This window comes from Homo sapiens, chromosome 18, assembly GCF_000001405.40.
Source record: "Homo sapiens chromosome 18, GRCh38.p14 Primary Assembly".
Classification (NCBI taxonomy): domain Eukaryota; kingdom Metazoa; phylum Chordata; class Mammalia; order Primates; family Hominidae; genus Homo; species Homo sapiens.
The window spans coordinates 9,450,780-9,471,236 of NC_000018.10; the positions used below are offsets into that span (position 1 = coordinate 9,450,780).

Sequence of the window (20,457 nt, forward strand, 5' to 3'; positions counted from 1 at the left end):
AAACAACACAAATGTCCATCAACTGGAGAAGAGATCAAATGAGTTGTGCTATACTTAAATGATGTAATACCACTCAGCCATAAAAAGGAATGAACTATGGAGACCAACCTGGGCAACATGGTGAAACCTTGTTTCTAAAAATAAACAAAAATTAGCCAGGCATGGTGGCGCATGCCTGTAGTCCCAGTTACTCAGGAGGCTAAGGTTGGAGGATCACCTGAGCCTGGGGAGGTCGAGGCTGCAGTAAGCCGTGATCATGCCACGGCACTCCAGCCGGGGCGGCAGAGTGAAACCCTGTCTCAAAAACAAACAAAGGAATGAACTGGCCAGACACAGTGGCACACACCTGTAATCTCAGTGCTTTGGGAGGCTGAGGAGGGAGGATTGCTTGAGGTCAGGAGTTTGAGACAAGCCTGGGCAACACAGTGAGACCCCATCTCAACAACAACAAAAAAATATTTTAATTAGTTGGGCATGGTGGTATGCAACTATAGTCCCAGCTACTCAGGATGCTGAAGCAGGAGGATCACTTGAGCCCGGAATATTGAGGCTGCAGTGAGCTGTGATTGTGCCACTGCCCTCCAGCCTGGATGACAGAGCAAGATCTTATCCTAAAAAAAAAAAAAAAAATTAAGTTAAATTTTAAAATAATAAATAAAATGAAAACAGATTTGAACTGCTGAAACACACAACACGAATGAATCTCAAAAACAGGCTGAGCAAAAGAAGCCTTACATAAAATAGTGCTGTGTGATGGCACTTACGTGAAGTTCTAGAATAGGCACGACTAATCTATGGTATGAAAATTAGGACAGTAGTTATTTCTACGTATGGGCAAAGCTGGGGACTGATTAGGAAGGTGCACAAAGGAACCTTCTTGGGTCATGAAATGTTTTCTAGATAGGGGTTGGGTGCAGTTTTGCATTTTTAAAGACTCATAGAATGAATGATACAGTTAATATCTGTCTATGTCACTATATGTGAATTTTACCTTGAAATAAAAACAACACTATAAAAATGCAATGATCTAGATAAGTATTTGCAAGCTGAAGTGTTTAGGGATATACTGTACTCAGGTCTGCAACTTTCTTGCTTTTATTTTTTATGTTTTTAGAGATGGGATCTTGCTTTGTCGCCCAGGCTGGAGTGCAGTGGCATGACCATAGTTCACTGCAGTTTTGAACTCCTGGGTTCAAGTGATCCTCCCACTTCAGCCTCTCGAGTACCTGGGACTCCAGGCACATGCCACCTTGTCTTTTTTTTTTTTTTTTTTTTTTTGGTAGAGATAGTCTCACTATGTTGCCCAGGTGCTGATAACTCCTGACTTCAAGGGATTCTCCTACCTCAGCCTTATGAGTAGCTGGGATTACAGGTGTGAGCCAGTTTTGCAACTTGCTTTGAAATGCATTTAAAAATAAGATAAATTGGGAGGCTGAGGAGGATAGATCACCTGAGGTCAGGAGTTTGAGACCAGCCTGGCCAACATGGTGAAACCCCGTTTCTACTAAAAAATACAAAAATTAGCCGGGCGTGGTGGCAGGCACCTTAATCCCAGCTACTCATGAGGCTGAGGCAGGAGAATCGCTTAAACCCTGGAGGCAGAGATTGCAGTGAGCCAAGATGGTGCCACTGCACTCCAGCCTGAGTGATAAGAGTGAGACTCTGTCTCAAAAATAATAATAATAATAAATAAAATAAGATGAATTGATGGATGGATGGGTACATGGATAGAGAATGGAGAGAAAGGTGATGAAACAAATAGAACAGCATATTGACAATTGTAGAATTTAATGATTGGGTATACCACTGTGCAACTCTTTCAACTTTTCTATATATGTGAAAATTTTCATAATAAAATATTGGAGAAAAAGGCATATAAAAATTCTAATGGGGTTAGAGAGATTGTACTGTGAAAGGAGTTTGTTAATGAAAATAAGGTTGGGAAATAGCCCTCAAAGCTAAGTTTCTCAGTCTTTTCAATTATTATCAATAAGCTATCAATTCAGAGATGTCTGCCAGACAAGAAAGAGACAGAGAAGGGAGAGAAATGAAAGAGGATGGCAAGATTTCTAGCTTGGTATAAAAGGAATATTTCAAGTGTGTCCATTTGCTACATAAAACTTTACTAATAAAAAAGGAAGTATCTTTTAAAATTATCCTGGACAAGTTTGTAAGTAATATGATTCATACAAATCATCCCCTAACACCACCGAAATTCTGATAAATCAATGAAAATTTTATTACATTATGAACATGTATTATATATTATTATTGTGCAAGGCTAGATACTTCAATTTATGACACTATTGTATTACTTTTTTTGCATGTTGTATGTATTTTTTAATTTATAAAAATCATTTTGGTTATATCTGTAATGTTTTTAATGATGAAATAAATTATTATATTATTTCATTGGGGAAAAATATGATTTACTTCATATCACAGTTCTCAGCAACCATTTTGCGAAAATAAGTTACTACTTATATTTGAAATACAGAATTATATTAGGATAATTGTCTTACTATTTATATTCTATGTGAGGAAATTGGATTGGATGATCATAGATCTTTTTAGCCCAATATCCTATTCTTTTTTCTGTTTCCTGAGCAGAAAATAAAAATCACAGCTGATTTTTTCCTTCCAAACAGAAACCATCATTGTTTTCTTCCCCCATATTGCATCACTTTCATAAATAGTTCAAACAATACAGAGACAGAACATGTTCTCATGCATATTCCATCCAGATAACGAACACTTTGCTGTTTGCTGTATGTCATAAATATGATTCATGCCAAAAATTTAAAATCTGTCTTTTAAAAACTATACACAGTATTCTACTGCAATATATATATTTTAATTGACTTATTCAAGCCCGTGTTGATGGAGCTTTCATTATTAAAAATAACAATAGTCTAAATATTCTTGTGCATGCCACACTTGTCCTATTATAACCTTAGACTACGTTTTTGGATCACAGTCTATGTATATTTAAAATTTTGTTAGATATCCTAAATTTCTCTCTAGGGAGCCTACACCAATTTACAGTTCCACCAACCATGTTAGGTTTTAGTTACTGCTTCAGCTTCTAGAACCCTGCAGCTTACTTCACAACTTAAACTGCTTAACAAAGGAACTCTGAGATATTCACTAGTAGGACATTTCACATCCTTTGTTTACCAGATACTGCCATTTAAATCAAAGACTTCAAAAATATTGAAGGATATTTCAATTGATCATCTTTTCTTGTAATTAGACTCCCTAAGGAGTGGTAACCCACTCTAGTTTTAAAAGCCTATCATTTTGAAAGCCTGCAACAGCCACTATAAGGAAATCCTTTTGATGGCAAACTTCAAAGCCCTGTTTTGGTTAAGGCTCTTTTCTTTGTGTTTCAACTTCAGGAAAAAGATGAAATACCTGATTGCTTTACTTGAAGACTAAAAATTTAGTCATTAAAGGCACGTCTCCACAAGCACAGCTGAATCCAACAGGACTGAAACACTGCATTCCTTAAATAAAGACTGACATCTCTTCTCCTGTTTGGAAAGCTCTGTGCTAGGTATGAATGGAAAAGAAGGAGAAAATGGGAAGGGAGAGGGCCAGTGACCTAATATCTGTTTGAAAAAATTACTAAATAAAACTATTAAGTGCTTCGGAAAGATTGGGAGCTGAAGTGAATGTTTCTGGCTGAGTCACAAATAGCGTATCTACATGTTGCAGCCAGAGGCAGAACCACAGATAGAGCAGTGAATCGGAATGTCTATGCTCCATTAAACAACCCTCTGCAAATCATACTATCACAGGCCTTGTTCAATCCAGCCAGGCCACAGACTTTAGAGAGGTTTAAAAACTTACTCAAGGTCACCTGTAAACAGTAAGTGGCAAATTCCAGACCGAACCCAAAGTCTATTTGATTGTGAGACTCCACTTCATTGCCTTGGTCCATATTATTTCACGTAAGTGTCCGAACAACCCTAAAAAGTAGTTAGCATTAACACCATTTTTGCAAATGACCTAACAAAGGTTAAAAAAATATGATTGGCCAGGAGTGGTGGCTCCTACCTGTAATCCCAGCACTTTGGGAGGCCAAGGTGGGCGGATCACCTGAGGTTGGGAGTTCGAGACCAGCCTGATCAACATGGAGAAACCCCGTCTCTACTAAAAACACAAAATTTGCCAGGCATGGTGGTGCATGCCTGTAATCCCAGCTACTCAGGAGGCTGAGGCAGGAGAATCGCTTCAACCTGGGAGGCAGGTTGTGGTGAGCCAAGATTGTGCCATTGCACTCCAGCCTGGGCAACAAGAGCAAAACTCCGTCTCAAAAAAAACACAAAATATGATTGGCTGGGCGCAGTGGCTCATGCCCATAATCCCAGCACTTTGGGAGGCCAAGGCAGGCAGATCATCTGAGGTCAGGAGTTTGAGACCAACCTGGCCAACATGGTGAAACCCCATCTCTACTAAAAATACAAAGATTAGCTGGATGTGGTGTTACACGCCTGTAATCCCAGTTACTCCTGAGGCTGAGGCAGGAGAATCTCTTGAACCTGGGAGGCAGAATTTGCAGTGAGATGAGACTGCACCACTGCACTCCAACCTGGGTGACAGGGCGAGACTTCATCTCAAAAAAAAAAAAAAAATCATAAAGCATAGATCAGCAAAGTATGGCTCATGGGCCAAATTCAGTCTTTCACTTGTTTTTCTAAATAAAGTTATTTTGGAACACAGCCATATTCATTTGCTTACATACGGTCTATGGTTGCTTTTTCACTATAAACAGCAGAGTTGAGTAGTGCAACAGAGACCATATGGACTGCAAAACCTAAAGTGCTTAGTATCTGGCCCTTTAAGAAAAAGTTTGCTGACCCTGACATAAAGCAGGAATTAGAGCCAACATTCAAACTCAGTTCTGTCAAATACCAAAAATTCTGTGCCACGTTATCTAGTCTAAGTATGCCTGCTCATTGTGTATACAGATTTTTGCAAAGTGTTTGACAGTATTTTTCGTATCCTTGTGGATAAGTTAAAGTAATGTGGCCTGGATGAGTACAGTTACTTGCTAATTCAGTGTCTATGAGTAGAGGTTCTCCCAGCATCATCCTAACTGTGACTGCCTGGTCAAATCACATCTGGGTTGTATATACGATATTTTGGTGAATCATCTTGGAGTTGAGGAGAGGTTTCTTTAATGACTGGTAGAAAACTTGAAGGGAATTCTTTGTTGATTGTCCATCAAAAGCTAGCCAAGCTCAATCCTTCCATGAAAGTAATACAACTTAAGATGTCTGGTTATAGACTGAAACAGGGAAAGCTTGAATAGGATTCTCTGTGGTAAAGAATTTGCCAACTTCCACCTAAAGGCAATAGTCTCTAATCCCTCCTAGAAGCCAACCCTCTGTTCTCATGCTGTTATGAAGAAATAATCAAGACTGAGTAATTTATGAAGGAAAGAGGTTTAATTGCCTCACAGTTCAGAATGGCTGGGAAAGTCTCAGGAAACTTACAATCATGGCAAAAGGGGAAGCCAACATGTCCTTCTTCACAAGGCAGCAGGAGAGAGAGAAGTGGTGAGCAAAGGGGAAAAAGCCCCGTATAAAACCATCAGATCTTGTGAGAACTCACTCACTATCATGAGAACAGCATGGGGGTAACCACCCTCATGATTCAACTACCTCTCACCAGGTCCCTCCCATGACCTGTGGGAATTATGGGAACTACAATTCAAGATGAGATTTGGGTGATGACACAGCCAAACCATATCACCAACAAAATGACAATGAAGCATTAAATAAAATAAAAACCACAAGCCCACAAGGACAAAGAGAATGGGAGAGAGGAGACAAAAATAATGACATTTGGAAGCTACAAAGCGATTGATATGCTAACCACTTTGGCCAACCCAGCCACGAAGCAAGTCAATTTACTGTGAAATTCCCCCAGAAAGCTCAGAAATTAGAAACAGTAGGCAAAAAGTTTAAGAGCTAAAACCAGGAGGATTGGGTGAAAGTCTTTTTAAGAAATAATCAGTCCCCACGTTTTATCCCTATTCCATGTGTTCATCCACATACCTCCACTCCAGGCCTCCTTATCGCCAATGTTCCAGGCTTTTTCTTTTCAGATCCCTGAGCAGACAGCCAGGCAATCGGCTTGGGCATGGGAAATGGGCAAGAAATTATGACTTTATGGGGGACGACTTTCTTTGGACTCCTAATGGTTCATATTTGCTTCCTTTTTTGGGTATCAATATCAAGTAGCAGCTCGTTAGCCGCCTGCTTATTTTTCCCTAAGGGACAGCATGTGCTGTTAACCACCTTTATAACTCCCCGTTGGCTGCGCCCCATGGCTGTCCCTTTGACCTTACTGGTCACTATGTTAAATGAAGCCTCTTGGCCTCTGGATGTTAAGTGCTGCTGCCTAACCTATATTATGTCAAGGCCCCATTTTCCCCATGAATATTGGCAAGTCCAGCTCTGTGCCTGTCTCTCCTACCATCATTCCTGACTTGCAAAGGAGGAGATCACTGAACACCTTAGTAATGCTGGTGCCCCTCTAGCAAGCACATGTCTAATGGCCTTGGTGGATGGCACATCCTGGGGCCCTCCTGGGGAACATGGCCCTCTGGGGGGTCTTCTGGCCTCACGTATTATACCCATTCCAACACAGCCTCACATATTATACCCATTCCAACTTCCCTCAACCTCTTCATTCTTTCCTCTACCATCTCCCAGGGAAACTCAGACATTTCTGCTTCACCGAGTGTTAGTCATTGCTTTTTCTAGGCTTCTAAATTATTGCTTTTCCTAGCCTTTCTAGGCTTTTGAACTAAAAAAGTTTGCCCTGTTCCTTGGGATTTTTACCATGTTAAATCTTATGTCTTGAGAAAATGTTCCAGAATAATGAATTCTTGCTTATCCAGTCTTTCATTCTGATCTCTTGAACAGGAACGCTCAAAATCCAATTCCAGTAGTACTCCCTTGACTCCTAATAGTACACGCTAGCCAATTCCAGCAACTCCTTTAGTAGCATCTCTTTCCCCCACTATCAGGCCCAGCATGTCCCTGCCAGGCTATGCTGGGATTCAATTCTAGTTATTGGCTTGGAACTCAGGACAGCTAGCGGCAGTAGCTACTGAGGGATACCCCTCTTATATTGTCAGGGAGAGGCCTATGCAATGATTTCCATCATGGAAGAACTGTCAGCTCTTACTGTGGAAGGTTGGCACCTTTGAAAGTGTGGGGGGTGGGTACAGTGTCAACATCTTTAAAGGTGAACATCCAGTTGTCTCCATTCCATATTTCAGAGTCCCAGGTTTTCTCAACCAGGACTCTGCCCTTAGCATAACAGACCTGCTATTGGCTGAGACTTCAAACATCCTGGAGCTCCACTGTATCTGCTCTCTATTGCAGGAGATAAGGGCCTCCTTGTGTACTCCCAAAAAGGCCTTATGGCTCTTGGCCATTAACTGCTTATTAATGATGCTCAGTTCCTAATTATCCATCTGTAAGATATTAATACAATTTATCAGCAACTATCCAATTCAGCTGTCATAGAAGGCATTGTTCCCCTCATAGCTCTCAAATTCCTGAATCATTTTATCTGCAAGAGTGCTCCCCTCCACCTAGACATTTTCCCAGTTCACCACTGGTAAAATCTTTAGCAACTGGGCTACGAACATGTGCCAGGACTATCTGTGTCCACTTACCCTTCAAGATGGCATCCTTAACACCTGCCAAGTGGTGAGTCAATAAATCCTAACTCCCCATATTTTCGTCTGTTTTCTAAGACTCCAATTTCTGTACTATGTCTGTTAGTAAGAGTCTGCTGAGAGGCAAATGCCAAGATGGGACAAGAAGACATCCAAGAGATATAAATTAGGTAAAACAGCCTTGAGAGAAAATTGGGAAGATACTGGTGGAAACTGGGAGAGATAACAGTCATGACACATGTGTTAAACTTGTAAATAGAGGGAGGAAGAAAGGAAAGACAAAAGGGTGGGAGAGGAGGAAGGGAGAGGAGAGAAAGGAAAGAAGGAAGAAGGAAGGAAGAAAGGGAAGAAGAAAGGTTAGAAGGAAGGAAGAAAGGAAGGGAAGAATGAAGCAAGGAAGGAATAGAATTCATAAACTACAGTGCAGTTCTAAGAAAGTTTTGATAAGCCCATGAGGAGCCTTCAAGCCAAAGACTCCCATGAGATGAATCCTGCTTCTTGTAGGAATTGTCCTGCTTTAGTATTCCTGCAACTCTTAGTAATTGACTAAGCCAATGGGAAGACTGGTCTTGGCAAGAATGCAGTGATGCATTCGGAACAGAGTATCTGGAGCAATCAATCAGTTGTGATCCCTTCAGTCAGAGACCCAAGAGCTATATTCTTCATGGCTGCCACACTTTATATGCCCAAGGGAAAGGAGGAACCATCTTTTGCAGGAATTCAGGTATCTGACACATGCAACAAAATGGCCCAGCCTGACCACCTGACAATGAATGAGGCCCACAAGTCCCAAGCCCTACCCACATGTACAAAGCTTGCAGACTGGCCAGGGATGGTGGCTTATGTCTATAAATCCCAGCACATTGGAAGGCAATGGTGGGAGAATCACTTGTGTCCAGGAGTGTGAGACCAGCCTGGGCGACATAGTGAGACCCCATCTCTTAAAAAAAAAGAAAAAATTAGCGGGGCCTAGTGGCCCATGTTTATAGTCCTGGCTACTTGGGAGGCTGAGGTGGGAGGATTGCTTAAGTCCAGGAGGTTGAGGCTGCAGTGAGCTACAATTGTACCATTGCACTTCAGCCTGAGTGATACAGCTTTTTTTTTTTTAAAGTTCTACCCTTTTAAATAAACTTGGACAGTCAAGGATTACTGAACATTTAAGGAAAGTTTGTAATAAGAAATTCAGAGATCAGGCCGGGCATGGTGGCTCATCCCTGTAATCCCAGCACTTTGGGAGGCTGAGGTGGGTGGGTCACAAGGTCAAGAGATCGAGACCATACTGGCCAACATGATGAACCTCCGTCTCTACTAAAAATACAAAAATTAGCTGGGCATGGTGGCATGCGCCTGTAGTCCCAGCTATTTGGGAGGCTGAGGCAGGAGAATCGCCTAAACCTGGGAGGCGGAGGTTGCAGTGAGCCAAGATCATTCCACTGCACTCTAGCCTGGTGACAGAGTGAGACTTTGTCTAAAAAAAATAAATAAATAAAAAAGAAAAAAATAAAAAAGAAATTCAGAAGCCAAAACAAATACAAACAACCACAAAAATGGCAATCTCACAACCTGAGAGAATTAGAGATTATTCAAGAAGATATATATTTGTTTTCTGTTAGCCTCAGGAAAATAAGATAGGTTAACTCATGCAAGTAGAAAACCGAATTTTTACGTAAAAAAATTTAGAGACCAATAACAACAAAAATTTCTTGGAAATTATGAAAACAGAAATGAAAAACTCAGTAAATACATTGAAAATGAAGAAATTTCCCAGAAATTTAAGCAAAAAGACAAATAATTAGAAAATAGGAAGGAGGCCAGGTATGGTGGCTCAAGCCTGCAATTCCAGCCCTTTGGGAGGCTGAGATGGGAGGATCACTTGAGCTCAGGAGTTCAAGAACAGACTGGGCAATACAGAGAGACTCCATCTCTCAAAAAAAAAAAAATTCGAAAAAAAAATAGGAGAGAAAAGGCAATAAAAGTAGAGGATCAGTATAAAGATTCAATGCCAAATGATAAGAGTTACAGAAATAGACAACAGAGAAGTGGGGAGGGAAGCATCAATGAAATAATTTATGAAAATATCCTCAGAACTGAAGTGCATGAGTTCCTTGATTGAGAGCATCCATGAAGTGCCTAACTCCCCCAAATAATAAAATTAATCCAAACTCTAGATAAATGATTATGAAATTTCATAAAACTAGGGACAAAATAAAGAATCTTAAACCATTTTTTCCCCTCAGAGAGTGGGAAAATTCAAGCATTTTTCACAGAGGATTAGGAATCAGAGTGACATTGAATTTTTCAACAGCAGTACTAGAAGCTAGGAAAACTGTAGCAAAGCCTTTAATATTCTGAAAAAGAATTATTGCCAATCAATATAGCTGGTCAAACCAAGTCAACTAATTGTCCGCATAGAAAAAAGACATTTTAAGATATGCAAGGTCTCAAAAAATGATTCTCTACACATCAATTCTCAAAAAGCTACTAGAACATGTGCTTTGCCAAAATGAAAGGGTAAACCAAGGAAGAAGAAGACATATCCAGGAAAGAAGCAATCTGTTATGGGCCGAACTGTGGCCCCAAAATTCATATGCTGAAGTCCTAACCCCAGTACCTCAGAATGTGACTGTATTTTGGAGATAGGGCCTTTAAAGAGGTAATTAAGGTAAAATGAGGTCACATGGGTGGACCCTAATTCAATATGAGCAGTGCACTTGTAAGAAGAGGAGATTAGGACACAGACACACACAGAGGAAAGACTGTGAACACAGAGAGAGAAGACAGCCATCTACAAGGCAAGGAGAGAGGCCTTAAAAGAAATTAACCCTGTCAACACCTTGATCTCAGACTTCCAGCCTCTAGAACTGTGAGAAAATAAATTTCTGTTGTTTAAGCCACTCAGTCTATGATACTTTATTATGACAACCCTAGCAAATGAGACAGGACCCAGTATAAAATGATGAAGGGACTGCCCAGGATGATGGTAAAGGAATACCCCAAATGACAGTGAAGGCATGCCTAGAGAGCAACTAATGCAATTTGAGCAAGTTGGGAACCTCTGGGAGAGATGTCTCCAAGAAGATGAAACTAGTAGAACATCTTATGTGTTTAAATATATTGAACACACAATTGAGGCAGAATTTGGGAACAAATTACCAATAAGTAAATAGAAAACTAAGAACACAATAAAATAAATAGAAGGCAATTATCAACTCTTTAGAAAATGAAAAGTTGTGAAGGAAAGAAAGGGCAGTTATGACATATTACATGATATATCTGAGAACATAGTGTCAATCATGTAAACACTGAAGGCTGATCAAATCTTCAGAAGACAAAAAGTTGTGCAGGAACAGAAAGGTAATCATGGCACATTACATGATGTACCTGTGAACAGTATTTGCACAGCATCGATCATGTAAATATTGAATACTGATCTGACCCAAATTGTCATATTAACTATACTGAGGGAGACAGGAAGTCTGTGTATGTAGGTGTGTGACAGAGATGGGGACCATGGGAGGCAGGGAAAGGAAGTTTCTCACATATTCCATACTGATTAATCAGTTGGTAGTACCAGAAGTGGAAAAATCAAGTGTCAAGAACTGTGAAGAATCTGAGATTTTACCGTACTTTAAGCTATCAAGTTAGCCTGCCACAGTTCATGCATGCTAACAGAAGATACAAAACTCTGGGGTCAGAAGCAAAGTACTTTGTTAGTTGTGGCACAGCAAATGGTATGAGCTTCACATTCACAATCATTCCTTTTACACTCACTCAGTCCCATGAGGGCGATGTGTGGCAGCACAGGTGGATACTACACATGCAAAAGGTTTGCATCACAGCTGAGGAATCTTTAAATAGAAAATTCGATCTTTTATAATGGGCTGCAAACAAACCTGTCCAGCCTTTGCCCCAGAAAGAGACATCATCTTTATTATACTGCACAGTGAGCAAACCTGATCTCTACTCCGGAGAGACTATCTCTTCTAATGCTTTGCTGTACATATATCCAAAAAAGATAGCTTGGAAAAAAAGCTGTAAGTGCCTCTGCTTGTGAGACATTCAAAAATGCAAGAAATTCATGGAGAATTGCCTCTCAACATCAAGAAATAACAATGTAAGCACACTACAGACAGTCCCCAACCTACAATAGTTCAACTTACCATTTTTCAACTCTATAATGGTGTGAAAGTGATATGCATTCAGTAGAAATCACACTTCGAATTTTGATCTTTTCAATACTTTATCATAAAATATACTTTGTGTTAGAGAATTTTGCCCAGCTGTAGGCTACTGTAAGTGTTCTGAGCATGTTTAAGGTAGGCGAGGCTAAGCTACGATGTTCGGTAGGTTAGGTTTACTACATGTAGTTTCAACTTAGGATATTTTCAATTTTATAGTGTGTTTATTAGGACACTACCCCATCATAAGTTGAGGAGCATCTGTATTTAGCAATAGAGAGGTAAATATAAAAATAATTAGTTAAAAGAGTTGAACGTCATTGCCTCTGGAGAGTGGATGTTGGCATTGGGAAGGGGAGTTAGACAGTTGACCACTGTTTACACCACAGCTCTTGAAGTACTATGTGACTCTTTAAAATATGTGCATGGATAACTGATAAAAATGAAAATAAAAATTTTAAAATTTCATAGGAAGCATTATATACTTTTAGATGTTGAGATTTATCTAAGACTGAAACTATCTACAAGGTCAAACTCCAAATTATTAATATTCTAAATAGCCTCACGGTTATCACTGATAATGCTTAAAAAGCAAATGCTATAATTTAAATTTGTGACATAAATTTTACCATTTACCCCCCAAGAAATGATTGAACAAGGCATTGCCTTCACAACATATGATGGAAAATTCAAATAACTTTGCTATACTGGATAGATGCTTATGAGGTAAAATTTCTTATCTGAATAAGCTTTATGGTTTATTTACTCCTGGAAAGCATTTAGGATTTGGATGGGACTGGAGGGAGGGAAGTATTCATCCACTTTCAACAAATCAGTCAACATGATAACGTTTCTATATTTTCTTCTATATTTAGTCTATAACGGAGGTAGAAAAAAAAGTCAGCTGAGAACAGTGGCTCACACCTGTAATCCCAGCACTTTGAGAGTCCTAGGCGGGAGAATTGCTTGAGGCCAGGAGTTTGAGACCAGCCTGAGCAACGTAGTAAGACCCTCGTCTCTACAAAACATTAAAAAATTAGCTGGGCATGGTAGCACACACCTGTAGTCCCAGCTGCTTGGGAAGTTGAGGCAGGAAGATTCGTTGGGCCCAGGAGTTCGAGGTTAAAGTGAGCTATCAGGAAGATTCGTTGGGCCCAGGAGTTTGAGGTTAAAGTGAGCTATGATTGTGCCACTGCACTCCAGCCTGGGGGACAGAGCAAGAACCTATCTCCAAAAAAACTCAAGAAAGAGCAAGCTCAGCTACCAAAAGGACTTAGCATGCTTTCTTTTGAGGAGGGGGTAGATAAGTTATATCAAAAACTCAGAAGAAAGGGGGGAATTTAGAAGTAATACTATCTCAACCTCAGGAGGGAATGAGAAAGAAAAATGAATTTAGCAGAAGTGTGGAGGCACAAAATAGCTTTCCAACAGCACCACCACCACGCAATCCCTCACTGCCAAATTTTGAGACAGATCGTTTAGTATAGCTTTGTTGTTAATTTGAAGGATTGCAAGGAACATTCAAACATAGCCATAATTCAAATATAAGGATAAACTATTCTACAGTGTTAGCTAAAATTATTCGGTATAATCTGGAATTTGTATGGATATAGGGTTAAATCCAGACAGACTGGCTCCAGGGTCCACGACTTCAGCCACTATGTCATATAAATATTTAACAAAAAATAAATATATATTTAAGTTAAATGTACAGTGCTTGACACAGAATAGTCGTTTCAGAAATAGTAGATGTTATTATTTTAAACAGAGAAAGAAGATATATACAGTTACAGGGTACAACACCCAAGAATAAACTTGGTGATATCTTTGTCACTACATTGAGAAAGTCTACCAGAAAATGAATCCAACCCAAAGAAAGAGGAATCTAAAGTTAATAACGGAGAGTCCTGGTGATGGCATTTGAAACCCTAGAAGCAACTGGAGTCAGTATCTTACACTTCCTGGTTAGGTGTACCAGTAAATTCTCCTTATTTTAAAAAATGAGTTTGAATTTGATTTTGATATAGTTTCAATGTTTGCCCCCTCAAAATTGTATGTTGAAATGTGATCCCCAGTGTTGGAGGTGAACCTAGTGGGAGGTGTTTGGGTCATAGAGGTGGATCCCTCATGAATGGCTTGATGCCCTCCCCTTGGGGATGAGAGATCTTGCTCTGAGTTCACAGGAGAGCTGTTTGTTTAAAAGAGCCTGCACCTCCTCCCCTTTCTCTTGCTCCCTCTCTTGCCATGTGACATGACTACTCTGCCTTCATCTTCTACCAGGAGTAAAAGCTTCCTGAGGTCCTCACCAGAAGCAGATGCTGGTGGCATGTTTCTTGTACAGCCTGCAGAACTGTGAACTAAATAAATCCCTTTTATTTATAAATTACCTAGTCTTGGGCCTTCCTTTACAGCAACGCAAAATGGGCTAACACAGATTTCCACTTTATTCTGAAAGATGTCTAACAGCTTTATTACACAAAAATTTATTAAGCATCTATTACATGCCAGGCATTCTACCAGTCATCAGAGATAGAATGGTGAACACACTTCTGATTTTTGTTCTTGCACTTCCACAGTCCTAGCCAACTACCCTAAAAGACAGCTGGTTCAGCCAAAGCTGTCAATTCATAGTAATTTATGGATCCTTGGAAGATATAATATAATTCCTTGAGAAGCCAAGGATATTGAAGAGTTCTTGTCATAGACTCCAAATAAATGGCCACTAATTATTTTCAGCATCTTCCACCTAAAGACAGAGTCTATTTCTCCATCCCTTGAATCTGAGGGCTTGGCATGTGACTTGTTTTGGTCAGTAAGATATTAGTAAATAACATGCAAACAGGAGCTTGAAAAGTGCTTGTGTGACTCTTTCAGAAGAAAATTATGGAAATCCAATTGAAAGGTGGGCTATTGAGAGACCATTGCTGAGAGTGGATCAGCCACCCTAGGTGCCTCAGCTAAGCCTAGCCCCCACTGAAACCACCAACTGGCTACAACTGAGTGATCATAGGCAAGACCAGCAGAAGAACAGTTGTTTAAGGCTAATATGTTGTGAGGTGAATTATTACAAAGAGCAAAGGCAAACTCATACAGTTCTGACATTGTTTTTGTAATGAGTTCTAAATATCATATCTTTTAAATATACAAAATAGAAAATTTCAATTACGTAACAGTGTTTTTACCCAATGAACTGTTTAGGGAAGAGGCCTCAGGTACCAGTACTAAGGATATAGGCAACAGGCCTTATGGAATCTTATACTTTATTCTTTCAAGGATGGGGATATCTTTAAAATATTTTAGTCAACTCTTATATCTGTTTTTTAGATAACAGCATTATTCAGATAAAATTCTTATGCCACATATGACATTAGATGCATGTATATTTACAATTTTTATCTCTTCCTGATGTATTTACCCTTTTATCATTATGAAATGCCCCTCTTTCTCTCTTGTAATATTCCTTGTCTTGAAGCATATTTTGTGTGGTGTTAACAGCTGATTCAACTTTCTTGTGATCACTACTTGCATGGTATATCTGTTTCCATCTTATTTCTTTCAAATGATAAGTGTCTTTAGATCTAGAGTATGTCTCTTTCAGACAGTCTATAGTGGGACTTGCTTTTGGTTTTGAATCCAGCTTGGCAGTCTTTTCCTTTTGATTGCAGGGTTTAGTCCATTTACATTTAATGTAATTACTGACATAGTTTGATTTACGCTTGCTATTTGAAGTTTGTTTTCTGTATGCCTTATCTTTCTTTTTTCTTTGTTCCTCCTTTTTATTATTATTGTTTTTGATTGTGGCATAATACGCATAACATAAAATTTACCATCTTAACCATTTTAAAGTGTACAGTTCAGAGTCATAAAGAACATTCACATTGTTGTGCAACCATTCATCTCTCTTTTCTTGCAAAATGGAAACTTTATACACATTAAATAATAATTTCCAATTCTCTCCTGTGCACAGCCCCAGGTAACCACCATTCTACTTTTCATCTCTATGAATTTGACTTCTCTAGGAGCCTTATATAAGTGTAATCATAAAGTATTTGTCATTTTGTGACTGGCTTATTTCACTAAACATAATGCCCTCAAAGCCCATCCATACTGTAGCATGTGTCAGAATTTCCTTCTTTTTGAGGCTGAATAATATTCTTTTGTATCTATGGACCACATTTTACTTACCCATTTATTTACTAATGGACATGGGTTACTTCCATATTTTGACTATTGCAAATAATATTGCTATGAACATGGGTGTACAAATATTTCTTCAAGTTCCTCATTTAAATTCTTTTGGGCATAAGCCCAGAAATGGAATGCCTGGATCACATGCTAATTCTATTTTTAATTTTTAAAGGAACCATTATACTGTCTTCTATAGCAGCTGCACTATTTCAGATTCTTTCCAGAAGTGCACAGAGTTTCCAATTTTTCCACATCCTTGGCAACACTTGTATTTTCTGTTTTTTGTTTTGTTTTGTTTTGTTTTTAAATAGTAGCCATCCTAATGAGTATACGGTGGTATGTCATTGTGGTTTTGAATTGCATTTCCCTAATGACTAATAATGTTGAGCATCTTTTCATATGTTTATTTATCATTTGTATATATTCTTTGGAGAAATGTCTATTCATGTCCTTTGTCTGTTTTTTAATTGAATTGCTTGTTTTTTGTTGTTGTTGAGTTCCTCTGTTCCTCCTTTTCTGGTTTGTTTGTTTGTTTGTTTGTTTGGAGTTGGGATTTTGTATATTGCCCAGATTGCCCAGGCTGGCCTCAAACACCTAGGCTCAAGTGATCCTCCTGCCTCAGCCTCCCGAGTAGCTACGACTACAGCCACACACCACTGTGCCCAGATTAGTGTACAATTTTAATTCCTTTGTTGATTTCTTAGCTATATTTTTAACATTTTAGTTTTACTTAATTTGCCTGTAATCCCAGCTACTCACAAGGCTGAGGTGGAAGGATCACTTGAGGCCAAGAGTTCAAGACCAGCCTGGGTAACATAGTGAGACCCAATCTCTGAAATAATTTAAAAATTAGCTGGATATGGTGGTGCATACTTGTGGTCCTAGCTACTCATAATGTTGAGGTGGGAGGATTGCTTGAGCCCAGAAGTTCGACGTTACAGTGAGCTATGTTTGTGCCCCTGTACTCCAGCCTGGGTGGCAAAATAAGACATCATCTCATTAAAAAATTACTTAATTTTACTTAATACAGTTTTACACTTATTTATTTCACCTAAATTATTTTAAATTACTTTTTTATTGGTTATTCTAAGGAATACAATGTATACTACGGTTTGAATGTTTGTGTCTCTTCCAAAATTTGTAGTTAAAACCTAATTCCCAAGGTGATAGTATTAAGAGGTAATTAAGAGGCTGGGTGTGGTGGTGCATGTCTGTAATCCCAGGACTTTGGGAGGCCAAGGCAGGCAGATCACTTGAGGTAAGGAGTTCAAGACCAGCCTGGCCAACATGGTAAAACCCTGTCTCTACTAAAACAAACAAACAAACAAACAAAAAAACCAAAAAAACACAAAAATTAGCTGGACGTGGTGGTGTGCACCTGTAATCCCAGCTACTCGGGAGGCTGAGGCATGAGAATTGCTTGAACCTGGGAGGTAGAGGCTGCAATGAGCAGCCACTGCACACCAGCCTGGGTGACAGAATGAGACTCTGTCTCAAAAAAAAAAAAAAAAAAAAGTAAATTAAGTCAAGAAGGTGGAGCCCCTCATGGATAAGATGAGGGCTATAACTGTTCAAAGGATTCATTGTGCCCACTGCCAAGATACAGCCTATTTAACAAGATAGGGGAATTGCAATGCAGAATTTAATATACATCGATTTGGCTAAACAGGAGACCAGAGTTTTATCATTACTCAAATCTGCCCCACCCCCCTCCAAAATTCAGAGTCTAGGGTTTTTCAAGGATAGTTTGACAGGCAGTGGCTAGAGAATGGGTGTTGCTAATTGGCTGGGGATGCAATTGTAGGGATGTGGAAAATGGTCCTCAAGTGCTGAGTCCAGTTTTGGGTGGAGGCCTTAGAAGAGCCACTGGTTCAGATGAGGCCATCCAGTCATCAGAAATGCAAAAGCCTGAAAAGACATCTCAAAAGGGTGATCTTAGGTTCTAGTAATTGGGGAAGCTGTAAGCCTTGTGATCTCCAGAATAATGGCTGGTAATCATTTAACTATGTGTATATCTTAGCAGAATTTAGACTCCTCTCATCCTCCTAACCTGGTGGATTTTTATTAGTTTTACAAAGGCAATTTAGTTTTGGAAGGGGCTATTATCATTTAAACTATAAACTAAATTTCTCCCAAAGTTAGCTTAGCTCATGCCCAGGAATAATCAGGGGCAGTTTGGAGGTTAAAGGCAAGATGGAATTGGTTAGGTCAGATCTCTTTCGCAGTCATAATTTTCTCACTGCTATAATTTTTTGCAAAAGTGGTTTCAGGACCCTTATAAAAGAGCTAGAAGTCGAAGGGCAAGGTCTCTCTTCTATCTTGCTCTTCTGCCATCTGTCATGTGATGACGCAATTAGAAAGCCCTTGACTGATGCTGGCACCTTGATCTTGGACTTCCCAGATGCCAGAACTGTGAGAATAATTTCCACTTATTATAAATTATCCAATCTGTACAATTTTGTTATAGTTGAACCAAATGAACTGAGACATGTATCTTTAACTTAACACAATCTCTTTCAGGCTAATACTAACTTAATTTCAGTAAACTACAGTCAATTTGCTCTGATATAGTACCATTTCCTCCTCCTTATTTTGTGCTATCACTGTCATACATATTCCATTTATATAATATCAACAATATAGTATAAAATTATTGCTTTAATCATATTTTTAAAAGACATTAAGAAAATTGTGTGTATAGCCTTTTTATATTTTTTAACATATTTTAAAAATTTCTCATCTTCATTCCTTTCTACATATCAGAGTTATACTCTCCTGCAATTTCTTTTCACTCTGAAGAACTTCCTTTAATATTTCTTGGAGGGCAGGTTTGCTACTAACAAATTCTCTCAGGTTTGTTTTTCTGGGAATGTCTTTATTTCACTTTCCTTTTTGAAAGATAGTTTCACTAGATACAGAATTCTTGGTTGACAGTTCCCCCCTCACTTAACACCTTAAATATATCATTCCAATGCCTTATGAGCTCTTGTGTTGCTGATGAGAAGTCAGCTCTATGTCACATTGTTTTTCCCCAATGACTCATTTTTCTTTTGCCACTTTCAGGATTTTCTTTTGTTCTTGGCTTTCAGCAGTTTGACTATGCTGTATCTAGGTGCAGTTTTCTTTGTGTTTATCTTACTTTGTGTTCATTAGAACTTCTTGTATTTGTAGGGTTTTTTTTTTAATCAAATTTGGGGACTTTTTAGCATTATTATTTCAAAAAATTCTAGCCCTCTTTTCTCCCTCTCCTATCTTTCTGGGACTCTCATTTCATGTTTGTTGGGATATCTGACATAATTTTACAGGTCTCTGAGGCTCTTCTTTCTTTCTCTTATTATTATTTTAACTGTCAACCTGAGCTTTATTAGGTAAATACTGTTGATTTTGGTTCATGATTCTCTATTATGTAATAATTTGTTTCATTCTCCGGTAAAATGATGTTTTTTTTTTTTTGAGGTGGAGTTTTGCTCTTTTTGCCCATGCTGGAGTGCAATGGCGCGATCTCAGCTCACCGCAACCTCCACCTCCTGGGTTCAAGCAATTCTCCTGCCTCAGCCTCCTGAGTAGCTGGAATACAGGCATGTGCCACCATGCCCGGCTAATTTTGTATTTTTTAGAGAATACAAATACAGAGACGGGGTTAGAGACGGGGTTTCTCCATGTTGATCAGGCTGGTCTTGAACTCCTGACCCCAGGTGATCTGTCTGCCTTGGCCTCCCAAAGTGCTGGGATTACAAGCGTGAGCCGCCCATGCCCGGTTGATGTTTGATATTTAATAAAAATTATAACAGCTGATATTTACCTATGATCTCTAATATAAAAAGTGCTACCATGCTCTTTCTCTCATTAATACCATTTTTTTTCCTAGTTTAACCCAGTTTATTTCATATGGTCTTAAATCTTAAAACTATTTCTTCTGTATAGATAAGTAATTCAAATCATTGGCTTATTTCCCTACCAATATGTTCAAACTTTATCTGTCAAATTCATTGAATGGTAGTTCCTGAACATCATATAGCAAGACAAAACAAACAAAAAAACCTAAAACACTAAAAAAAAAAAAAACCCCAACCCTTCCAATATTTAATTTAATAAAATTAGTGCTTTTCTGCAGTATGATTTTTGTCTCAATAATCCAAATTCAGGTTTCATTAGTTTTAGCAAATGAAGTAAAATAAAATGTTATGCTAAAAAATATACATACACACCCCAAAGGCTGAGAGATATACCAAGCTATTATTAATGGTTATCTATATGCAGGTAAAATTTTAAGATTTTTGTTTGCATGTTTTCTTTATGTAGGTATTCTTTTTTAATAATTTTTATTTTATTTCAATAGTTTTGGGGGTACAGGTGGTTTTTAGTTACACGGGTAAGTTCTCTAGTGGT

The 20,457-nt window shown here is 38.8% G+C and overlaps 1 annotated feature.

Annotated features, from left to right (window-relative positions):
* Positions 2,895-3,508: an enhancer, noted in NCBI's record as "NANOG hESC enhancer chr18:9453672-9454285 (GRCh37/hg19 assembly coordinates)". NCBI's record gives its function as "activates a minimal SCP1, AML or CMV promoter by ChIP-STARR-seq in naive H9 embryonic stem cells {active_cell/tissue: H9 hESC(naive)}" and the evidence as "EXISTENCE:reporter gene assay evidence [ECO:0000049][PMID:30033119]".